Raw genomic sequence first — 11948 nt, forward strand, 5'->3', positions numbered from 1 at the left:
CCAGCAGTTCAAGATCAGCCTGGGCAACATAGTGAGACCCTGTCTCTATGAAAATATTTTAAAAATTAGCCAGCCATGGTGGTGTGCACCTGTAGTCCCAGCTATTCTGGACGCCAAGGTGGGAGGATCCCTTGAGCCCAGGAATTTGAGGCTGCAGTGAGCTATGATCACACCACTGTACTCCAGGCTAGGCAACAGAGTGAGACCCTGTCTCAAAAACAAAAAAAAAGTCAAGTGAAAGTTTAAAAATAATCAAAAGGGCCAGGCGCAGTGGCTCACGCCTATAATCCCAACACTTTGGAAAGCCGAGGCGGGCGGATCATGAGGTCAGGAGTTTGAGACCAGCCTGGGCAACTTAGTGAGACCTTGTATCTACTAACATAAATAAATAAATAAATAATACTCAAAAAACTTAGCTGGGCATGGTGGTGCACACCTGCTACCCAGGAGGCTGAGGTGGGAGAATTGCTTGATACCAGGAGGAGGAGGCTGCAGTGAAGCAAGATCACGCCACTGCACTCCAACCTGGGTGACAGAGTGAGATCTTGTCTGTAAATTAAAAAAAAAAAAAGGTTTACCAAATATCCAAATCTGAAAAACTAGTCATCCTTCTGGAAAATATTATGTTCCATGAAAAAAGGAACTAGTTCAGTTTACACTAAAACAAAAAAAAATGCTTTTTCTTGAGACAATTATTCTCTTTTGATATGCTGCAGAAGTGCTTTATTTCTATTTTCCATTTCTTAACCTAGAATATTAATTAGACACCACTCAAGGGACAAGATTTCACAAAAATTTTAACCACTGTATCCAACCAACTTGCTTTTTTTAATAACAAAAGTGAGTCCACCACTTCAGAGAAAACAACTGATTGACTACTGTCAATAATAAAATTCAAGCTTTCAAGTGAAAATTAGAATTTTGAAAAACTTGTATTTGCCACTATAAACTTGACAGCTCCCCAACAGTTAAAGACTTTTCTGTTGAGATTGCTGGAATAGCTTTAGGAATGTGGGGTTTTTTTTTCATATTATATAATGAAATCTATCCACATAAAATTTGAGAATTTCTGTCTTAAGGTTTAGGATGGGTTCCTCTTATCCAGACCGTTTTGATTCTTTCTTACTAAAAACAAATAGGTGTAAATCACATGCATGAAAAATTTGAGTTTCTCTACTTGAAAGCGACCAGCAGCTAAGCTGCAGGTTGCACACTGAAGTTGTTTGTGGACATCCAGAATCACTTGAAAGGTAAGACCCACTCACCTGTTAAAAGTATAGATATGTGACTCTTAGAAAAATTAGTTCTATTTTTCTTGTAGCTTAATTATAAGAAAAAGATCTAGATCTAAAAAGATCATAATCCACATTCCATCTTGGTTTGAATAAATTAAAAAGACAACAGTTTCTGGAGTCAGATAGGTCTCGGTTTGAACTCGGATGTCCCCCCTCTCCATTGCAGGACTTTGAGATATTTACATCTCCGACCTCCAAAATAGCCTTCAGTGGTGCCTGTTTCCTGGTTTGATACCCTTCTGACCTTTCTCATGATGGGTGGTGGTCTGTTGGACAAATAGGATATGTCAGAAGTGATAGTACGTAACTTCTTTTTTATTTTTATTTTTTGAGACGGAGTCTCGCTCTAGTCATCCAGGCTGGAGTGCAGTGGTGTGCTCTCGGCTCACTGCAACCTCCACCTCCCGGGTTCAAGCGATTCTCCTGCCTCAGCCTCCTGAGTAGCTGGGATTACAGGCGCGGGCCACCACGCCCGACTAATTTTTGTATTTTTAGTAAAGATGGGGTTTCACCATGTTGGTCAGGCTGGTCTCGAACTCCTGACCTCATGATCCACCTGCCTCGGACTCCCAAAGTGCTGGGATTACAGGCATGAGCCACCGTGCCCGGCCGATAGTACGTAACTTCTAAGATTATGTTACAAAAATATTTCAAGCATAAACTCGTGCTAACTCAAAATCAAATGTCAATCTGTGTTTCTTTTCGTTTTAAGCACAGTTGATTCTCGAACAACACAGGTTTGAACTGTACTGGTCCATTTATATGCATTTTTTTCAATAAAAACTTCTATCTTGAACTCTTGCTTTTCTTTTGGATCATAGCTCTGGGGGAAAGCAGCAGCCACACCAGGAGGCCCTGCAGGCCACTCAGGCTGTATGTGGAGAGGCCCATACGGTGAAGAACTGAGGCTGCCAACAACCATGTGGGTGAACTTGGTAAGAGGGGTTTCAGCCCCAGTCAAGCCTTGAGATGACTTGTGGCCCGGATGACAGCTTGTCTGCAGCATCATGAGAGACTCTGAGCTGGAACCACCCAGATAAGCTGCTCCCAGATTACTGAGCACAGAAACTATTTGTTATTTTAAGTTACTATGTTTTGGGGGTAATTTATTAGATAGCAATAGATATTACAGGTAAGTAAAATGTTGTTTTCATACTTTAACACATGTCCTGAATCTTCCAGGAATGTCTTTCTGTAGAAAACTGTTGAGGGTTGGCTCAGCTGTCTGCATCTAAAATAGAAATATCAGATCCACAAAAGCTGGCAATTCTTTGCTTGAAATAAGACAGAAGTTTGTGGCTTGGTGCAAAATTGTAGAGATTTCCTGGAATGTAGGGGCCAGGCTTACAACCTTAGCTATATTTCACCATCCTTACATCACTATTTCTCTGGTTGTTCTGGTTGTCTGGAGTTAGTTCTCTCATAGATTAGTTAGGAAAGATTTATGGGAATGCTCTTGCACTGGAAATTCAGTTTTGACGTAAAAACCCTCAGCTCACCTTTTCTTTTCTTGAGTGTAGTAAAAATGACACTTCATTGTCTTCTTGCATAAAGTAGTGCTAACTCAAAATTGATTGTCAATTTGTACGTCTTTTCCTTTGAAGCATAGTTGATCCTTGAACAACATGGGTTTGAACTACGTTGGTTCATTTACAGGCATTTTTTTTTTTTTTTTTTTTTTTGAGACGTGGTTTCACTCTCATTGCCCAGGCTGGAGTGCAGTGGCATGATCTCAGCTCACTGCAACCTCTGCCTCCCGGGTTCAAGCGATTCTCCTGCCTCAGCCTCCCTAGTGGCTGGGATTACAGGCGCCTGCCACCACGCCCAGCTAATTTTTGTATTTTTAGTAGAGATGGGGTTTCACCATGTTGGTCAGGCTGGTCTCAAACTCCTGACCTCAGGTGATCCACCCGCCTCGGCCTCCCAAAGTGCTGGGATTACAGGTGTGAGCCACTGCACCGGGCCTACAGGTTTGTTTTTTTTTTTATATCCAGTGTGCTTGCTCTCCTACATCCTCTTTCGTCTCTTCCACCTCTTCTGCCTCTGCCACCCCTGAGACAGCAAGACCAAATCCTCCTTCTCCTCCTCCTCAGCCTTCTCAACGTGAAGACAGTGAAGATTAAGGCCTTTATAATGATCCACTTCCACTTAATGAATAGTAAATACATTTTCTTTTCCTCATGATTTTCTTAAGAACATTTTCTTTCCTCTAGCTTACTTTATTGTAACAATATAGTATATAATACATAAAACAGGCCAGGCATTGTGGTTCACGCCTGTAGCCCCAGCACTTTGGGAGGCTGAGGCAGGCAGATCACTTGAGCCCAGGACCAGCCTGAGCAACATAGTGAAACTCTGTCTCTACAAAAAATACAAAAAAATTAGCTGGGTGTGGTGGCACACGCCTGTTGTCCCAGCAACTGGAGAAGCTGGGGCTGGGGGAGGATCACTTGAGCCCAGGAGGTTGAGGCCACCATAAGCCATGATTGCATCCCTCTACTCTAGCCTGGGTGACAGAGTGCGACCTTGTCTTAAAAAAAAAAAAAAAAAAAAAAAAAAGACAAGCAAGCTAGCGCTAAAGCTTCCAGTCAACAGTAAGCTATTTATAGTTAATTTTCCAGGGAGTCAAAAGTTATCACAGATTTTTGACTGCATGGGGCATCAGCGCCCCAACCCCATGTTGTTCAAGGCTCAACCGTAGTATGGTATTTTTATGAAGTCTAAAGGACTTTTTCTTTTCTTTTCTTTTCTTAAAGCTATAGTTTTGGCCAGGCGTGGTCAAAACGTGCTCACGCCTGTAATCCTAGCACTTTTGGAGGCTGAGGCGGGAGGATTGCCTGAGCTCAGGAGTTCAAGACCAGCCTGGGCAACATGGTGAAACCCCATTTCTACTACAAAATACAAAAAAAATTACTCGGGCATGGCAGCCCATGTCTGTAATCTCAGCTACTCGGGAGGCTGAGGCAGAAGAATTGCTTGGACCTGGGAGGCAGAGGTTGCAATGAGCTTAGATCGCATCACTGCACTCCAGCCTGGTCGAAAGAGCAAGACTCTATCTCAAAAAAAAAAAAAAAAAAAAAAAAGCTATAGTTTTATTAGACTAAGTCTTGGCATTGTAAGTTCTGGGCTATTACTTCATACAAGCAGAGGTCCATCCAACAAGTAGTTTCAAATTCTCCCTAAGGAAAGTTTTATTGCATTTTAAATTTTAGTGTTTGTTCTTTTCAATTATTTTGGTTTTCCTCTTCAGAGATCTCCCTATCAAACATGCTAGAACTTCTTTTACTGTCTTCTATAGCTTTCACTTTCTATCAAATCCTTTTTATATTTTTTCATTTCCCTTGTTATTTAAAAGTTTCCTCCTTTCCATCTTCCACTTCCCTTAAGCATTTTGTGTTGTATTTATTGTCATATCTCATTTGGTTTATCTTAATTTCTCTCTCTCTCTCTTTCTTTTTTTTTTTTTTGTGAGGCAGAGTCTTTCTCTGTCTCCCAGGCTGGCATGCAATGGCATGATCTTGGCTCACTGCAACCTCTGCCTCCCAGGCTCAGGTGATTCTCTCGTCTCAGCCTCCCACGTAGCAGGGACTACAGGCAGGCGCCACCACACCCAGTTAATTTTTGTATTTTTTTGGTAGAGACAGAGTTGGGCAGGCTAATCTCAAACTCCTGACCTCAAGTGATCAGCCCGCCTTGGCTTCCCAAAGTGCTGGGATTACAGGTGTGAGCCACCGCACCCAGCCCCTTTATTTCTTATATTTTTTTTCCCTAAACCTTTTCTGAGTTTTTCAATATCTCATTTAAATTTTTCTTTGCTCTATTTATTTTTTAAAATTCTGATTTTTATGTTTTATCAATGCATATAATAGTTTTCCTTATGTTTGTTGAGCATATTTTGAAATATTAAGTTAAAGTTTTCATCGTTGTGTGAGCTTGAATTTCTGGTGTTATTTCATAGTATGTAAGTGAGAGGTAACAACGTGCTAGCAGCCCTCGCTGGCTCTCAGCACCTCCTTGGCCTTGGCGTCCGCTCTGGCCACACTTGAGGAGCCCTTCACCCGCCGCTGCACTGTGGCAGCCCCTCTCTGGGCTGGCTGAGGCCAGAGCCGGCTCCCTCTGCTTGTGGGGAGGTGTGGAGTGAGAGGTGTGGGCGGGAACCAGGGCTGCATACGGCGCTTGCCGGCCAGGGTGAGTTCCGGGTGGTTGCAGGCTTGGCAGGCCCCACACTTGGAGCCGCTGGCCAGCACCGCCCGCCCCAAACAGTGAGGGGCTTAGCACCCAGGCCAGCAGCTGTGGAGGGTGCGCCAGGTCCCCCAGCACTGCCGGCCCACCCACGCCACGCTCGAATTCTCACTGGGCCTCAGCCGCCTCTCCGCAGGGCAGGGCTCAGGACCTGCAGCCTGCCATGCCCAAGCCCCCCGTGGTGGGCTCCCACGCAGCCCGAGCCTCCCTGACAGGCACCACCCCCTGCTCCACAGCGCCTGGTCCCATCGACCGCCCAAGGGCTGAGGAGTGCAGGCGCGTGGTGTGGGACTGGCGGGCAGCTCCGCCTGTGGCCCCAGCACGGTATCCAGTAGGCGAAACCAGCTGGGCTCCTGAGTGAGTGGGGACTTGGAGAACTTTTATGTCTAGCTGGAGGATTGTATATGCACCAATCAGTACTCTGGGTCTAGCTTGGGGTTTGTGGATGCACCAATCAGCACTCTGTATCCAGCTAATCTGGTGGGGACTTGGAGAACTTTTATGTCTAGCTAGAGGATTGTAAATGCACCAATCAGCACTCTGTGTCAAGCTCAAGGTTTGTAAACACACCAATCAGTGCTCTGTGTCTAGCTAATCTAGTGGGGACTTGGAGAACTTTTGTGTCTAACTAAACGATTGTAAATGCACCAATCAGCACTCTGCGTCTAGCTCAGAGTGTAAACACACCAATCAGCACCCTGTCAAAACGGACCAATCAGCTCTCTGTAAAATGGGCCAATTGGCTCTCTGTAAAATGGACCAATCAGCAGGATATGGGTGGGGCCAGATAAGGGAATAAAGGCAGGCTGCCTGAACCAGCAGTGGCAACCTGCTTGGGCCTGCTTCCACAGTGTGGAAGGTTTGTTCTTTTGCTCTTTGCAATAAATCTTACTGCTGCTCACTCTTTGGGTCCGCACTGCTTTTATGAGCTGTAACACTCACTGTGAAGATCTGCAGCTTCACTCCTGAGGCCAGTGAGACCACAAACCCACTGGGAGGAATGAACAACTCCAGACGTACCGCCTCAAGAGCTGTAACACTAACCGCGAAGGTGTGCAGCTTCACTCCTGAAGCCAGTAAGACCATAAACCCACCAGAAGAAAGAAACTCTGAACAAGTCTGAACATCAGAATGAACGAACTCATGACATGCCACCGTTAAGGACTGTCACACTCATCGTGAGGGTCCGCAGCTTCATTCTTGAAGTCAGTGAGACCAAGAACCCACCAATTCCGGACACATAAGGATTTAATTTCCTCCTATTTCTCTTTTTCTGTTTTTTGTTCGTTTGTTTTTGGGAGACGGAGTCTCATTCTGTTGCCCAGGCTGGAGTGCAGTGGCATGATCTGGGCTCACTGCAAGCTCTGCCTCCCGAGTTCATGCCATTCTCCTGCCTCAGCCTCCCGAGTAGCTGGGACTACAGGCACCCACCACCACACCTGGCTAATTTTTTGTATTTTTAGTAGAGACGGGGTTTCACTGTGCTAGCCAGGATGGTCTCAATCTCCTTACCTTGTGATTCACCCTCCTCGGCCTCCCAAAGTGCTGGGATTACAGGCGTGAGCCACCGCACCCGGCCCTATTTCTCTTTTTCTAATAATACTTTGTTTGAGATTTGATACAGTCCTTTTCTGTGGCTCATTTTTAATTCAAATGACTATTTTTGCATATTTAAGACGGATGAAGAAGCCAGAATAACATTTCTAACCTCATGACTGTAGAACTCTTCCTTTTGTTGTTTTCACAAAGAGACTGAAAACATGGCAGTGAACTGCCTGAGGTTTTCATTCTCTGTTCATCTCTAATTTTATCTGGACTCTATTGTCCCTGCCCTAGTCAACTGGGAATCTATTCTCAACATTTGCTCCTCAATGTAGGGCTTTGTCATGGAAAGTCAGTTTGGTTTGTTACTTTCAAGAATTCATAGGCACCAGGCAGATCCGGCATCCTTAGATCTTCCAGCAACCCCAGTGCAGTTATCTGGACAATATAACCTGCACAACACTCTTCAAGTTTCTGCAGTTATTCTCAGAATACTCTACCATGCTTTCCAGTGAATAACCGATAGTAATTTAGGAGTTCTCTGTCTTTGGTTTTGCTCTCCTCGTTGCTCTGATGTTTTTTTTTACAGGGGCATTCAGAAGGTAAAAAACTACACTGCCACTGCCACCTCATTCCCAGAATGGTATTCTGTTACTTTTTCTTTTGAACAGAATTTCCTTGGAAATGGTTTTTAGAAACTTGTGCACCTATTTAATTTGCCCTTCTATTCGTTTTTAAAACATTTTTACTATGTAAATTTCAAAACCTAGATAAAGGTAGAGATGACAGTATATTGCTGTCACCCCATGCACCCATTTTCAACAACGATTCACATATGACTACTCTTACTTCATTTTGGCACTATGTATGTTTCTGTCTTGCAACCCACTGGATTATTTTGAAGAAAATTCAAGACATCATGTCATGCCAGCATAAAATGCTTCTACTTTTAAATTATTTTCGAATGCCAAATGCACACACATACAGATGACCCTTGAACAATGCGGGAGTTAGGGGCACCAACCCATCACAGAGTCAAAAATCTATAATTTTTGAGTTCCCCAAAACTTATACAAATCAATAAACACACGTTGTATGCTATATGTATATAGTATGTCTAGTTTACTGTATTCTTACAATAAAGTAAACTAGAGAAAAGAAAATGTTATTAAGAAAAGTATGGCTGACTGTGCGCAATGGCTTATACCTGTAATCTTAGCACTTTGGGAGGCTGAGTTGGGCAGATTGTTTGAACCCAGGAGTTCAAGACCAGCCTGGGCAACATGGCAAAACCTCATCTCTATTAAAGAAAAAAGAAAGAAAGAAGTAAAGAAATGAAAATAAGCAAGCAAGCAAGCAAGAAAGAAACGTATGGCCGAGTCTGGTAGCTCATGCCTATAATCCCAATGCTTTCGGAGGCTGAGGAAGGAGGATCACTTGAGACCAGGAATTTGAGACCAGGCTGGTCAATATAGTGATGCTCCATCTGTATTAGTCCATTCTCACACTCCTATAGAGAACTGCCCAAGACTGGGTAATTTATAAAGGAAAGAGGTTTAATTGACTCACATTTCTGCATGGCTGGGGAGACCTCAGGAAACTTACAATCATGGCAGAAGGTAATTCTTCACAGGGTGGCAGGGAAAAGATTGAGTGCCAAGCAAAGGGGGAAGCCCCTTATTAAACCATCACATCTCATTAGAACTTACCACTATCACGGGAACAAAAGCATGGGGGTAACCACCCCCATGATTTAATTACCTCTCACTAGGTCCCTCCCACGGCATGCGGGGATTATGGGAACTACAATTCAAGATAAGATTTGAGTGGGTACACAACAAAACCATGTCACTGTCTATACAAAAAATTTAAAAATTATCCAGGTGCAATAGCATATGCCTATAGTCTTCCTAGCTATTCAGGAGGCTGAGGTGGGAGGACTGCCTGAGCCCAGGAGTTTGAGGCTGCAGTGAGCTATGATTGCATCCCTGCACTCCAACCCAGTGAACAGAGTGAGACCCTGTCTCAAAAAATAAATAAATACATACATACATAATAAATAAAATTTTAAAAAGAAAATAATAGAAAGAAAAAATATATTTATTATTCATTAAGTGGAAGTGGCCTCTCAAAAAGGCCTTCATCCTTATCATCCTCATGTTGAGAAGGCTGAGGAGGAGGAGGATGAGGCAGGTTGGTCTTGCTATCTTGAGGGTGGCAGAAGCAGAAGAAAATCCAGGTATAAGTGGACTAGCATACTTTAAACTCATGTTGTTCAAGGGTCAACTGTATAGACATATATATAAAACATCAGGCTGTGATGGTTCACAACTTCACACAAATGACAAGTACACAGTCGTGCGTTGGCTTCACACATCTTAGGAAAATTGTATCTATGAATGGACCACTGAAATAAAAATTAGATATGTTCTTAGAGATTTATGAAAAGACAATATTAAAACAAAAACAAAACAAAGCACCAAACTTCTATCCAATTCTCAACATCATAAGATCTGAAAGTTATCTTAATTCACCGTTTCTCTTTCCCCAGCACAACCACCATTAATTCAAAGTCCTCAGCCGGGCGCGGTGGCTCACATCTGTAATACCAGCACTTTGGGAGGCCGAGGTGGGCGGATCACGAGGTCAGGAAATCGAGACCATCCTGGCTAACACGGTGAAACCCCATCTCTACTAAAAATACAAAAAATTAGCCGGGCGTGGTGGCGGACGCCGGTAGTCCCAGCTACTCAGAGGCTGAGGCAGGAGAATGGCGTGAACCCAGGAGGCGGAGCTTGCAGTGAGCCGAGATTGCGCCACTGCATTCCAGCCTGGACGACAGAGCCAGACTACGTCTCAAAAAAAACAAAAAAAACACAAAAAACCAAAAAACCAAAAAACCAAATTTATCTCCATTCAACATCTTCCAGATCTCTATTACGACTGGCTCTGCCTTAGTTTAGGATTTCATCATTTCTTTTCTACGCTCTGGCTTCTGATTTATCTCTTGACCTCTAGATCACCTGCCTTCAGTTGATCCTCCAGAAACCACTTAAGAACTTTCTTTAATGTTAATCTATTCATTTAACTCTCTAGAAGCACTTAGTAGGCTCCTATCGCTTAAGGATAAAGGAAATTTTCTTACAAATAAAGGCGGCTGCTCATGATCAAGATCCTGTTTATTTTCAATCTCTCCTCTTACTCTGTCTATACAAACACCGCTTGTGCTTCCTTCCTGCTCTGCTATTTGAGTCTACTCTGCTTTCCTATATGTTGTTCTGTTTTTCTCCAAAACCTCCCCCGACATCCTGCCAGTAAACTGTGACTTACATCAAGCCTCAGTTACACGTCTCTTCTGGCTTTGAAAAAAACATGGCACATGAAGTAAAAGGAGACTTAAATATTATCTTGGACTTTCAATGTCCTGCTCACATCTAGCTCATTCATTCCTCAAAAGCCTTCCTGAATCATGTAAGGCGGGTATTGTTTCTATGGATAAGTAAACTGAGTAGAGGCAGCAGTTAGTAAATGGCAGAATTAGAAGGCCCTGGAAAACCCCAGCAGGCATCATTCCTATTTTAGTCTATAGGAACATGCCCCTGAGTGCGTAGCAAGCAAGTTTGCCCTTGTTACATATATCCCTTTCAGAGTTCACAGCAGGGTATAGCTTCCATTATGCAGATTGTTGATCCTTTTTCCTTTTTTTTAAGCTCTCGTGACCACTAAATCTGCATAATAAGCAACTAAAATGATTTCTGTTGGAAGAAAGTTTTTTTTTTTTTTTTCCTTACTGTCTTCACTCCCAAATGCACCCAGGTCAAAATTTAGCAACGCTTGGCTTGAAATGGCATCCATGTTTTGTTATGGTAATTTTTTATTTTTAAATGCAGAAGTGATTTAGTAGTAAAATCCTGCTTGCTGGTTAGAGGTCGTGGGAATGCCTCTCCATCTGAATGGAAAGAAATTGGTTTTAAATTATTAGATGGCCAAAGGCTTATAGAGAGTGGAGTTAGAGAAGCAGCTTATGACCTTCACCTACACTTGAACTGGAATGGTAATCTACATTTCCAAAGGCACTAAGCGTTCCAATTTAAATTTCTGTGGTGACACTTGAAAAGATTGATCATTCTATCCTGAGAGGAGATGAAGGAATGAGGGTGAGGGGTTATGAGCAGGCAACACTGCCTGCTCAGTAGGAGCTGACAATCAACTAGGATAGCCCCAATTTCCTGTTGCAATATTTAACTCACTTTTGTGTTTACATTTGATAAACACAAGTTTAGAGATTCAAGAATTAGAACATCTCTTGTCTCACTCCAGCTACAAATATTGATTAAAATGGGAAAGATTGTTTATTGTAAATTGCATTTATCTTCATGATGTGGGAACAATGTAGGTTTTCAATGAATGCTTCTTTGTGTGTGAAAGATATGTGAATAAACCAATTTCAATTTTTTTTTAATTTTTAATTATTAATTTTAAATTGACAATAATAATTGCATAATATTTATGTGGTACAATGATGTCTTAATGTATGTGTGCATTGTGGAATGAGCAGACCAGGCTAATTAACATATTCATCACCTCACAAGCTTATCATTTCTCTGCAGGGCAAACATTTATAAACTACTCTTTTGGCAATTTTAAAATATACAATACATTATTGTTAACTGTAGCCACTTTGATATGCAATAGATCACTAGAACTTATTCTTCCTAACTAAAACGGCCTAATTTCGAAATTCTGAAATCTTACTTTACATTTTACTTTGTATTTTTAGAATGTAATATCTTTGAAGGCAGTGATATGTTTCCTTCAAAGACTTTAATGAATGCAGTGTGTCAAAAATACACTGATTAATGTGGATAC

General features: G+C 42.4%; 2 annotated features.

Annotated features, from left to right (window-relative positions):
- Positions 10438 to 11012: an enhancer, noted in NCBI's record as "OCT4-NANOG-H3K27ac hESC enhancer chr4:160304254-160304828 (GRCh37/hg19 assembly coordinates)". NCBI's record gives its function as "activates a minimal SCP1, AML or CMV promoter by ChIP-STARR-seq in naive and primed H9 embryonic stem cells {active_cell/tissue: H9 hESC(naive and primed)}" and the evidence as "EXISTENCE:reporter gene assay evidence [ECO:0000049][PMID:30033119]".
- Positions 11013 to 11586: an enhancer, noted in NCBI's record as "OCT4-NANOG hESC enhancer chr4:160304829-160305402 (GRCh37/hg19 assembly coordinates)". NCBI's record gives its function as "activates a minimal SCP1, AML or CMV promoter by ChIP-STARR-seq in primed H9 embryonic stem cells {active_cell/tissue: H9 hESC(primed)}" and the evidence as "EXISTENCE:reporter gene assay evidence [ECO:0000049][PMID:30033119]".

The sequence above is a fragment of the Homo sapiens genome, chromosome 4 (genome assembly GCF_000001405.40).
Source record: "Homo sapiens chromosome 4, GRCh38.p14 Primary Assembly".
NCBI classification, from domain to species: Eukaryota; Metazoa; Chordata; class Mammalia; order Primates; family Hominidae; genus Homo; species Homo sapiens.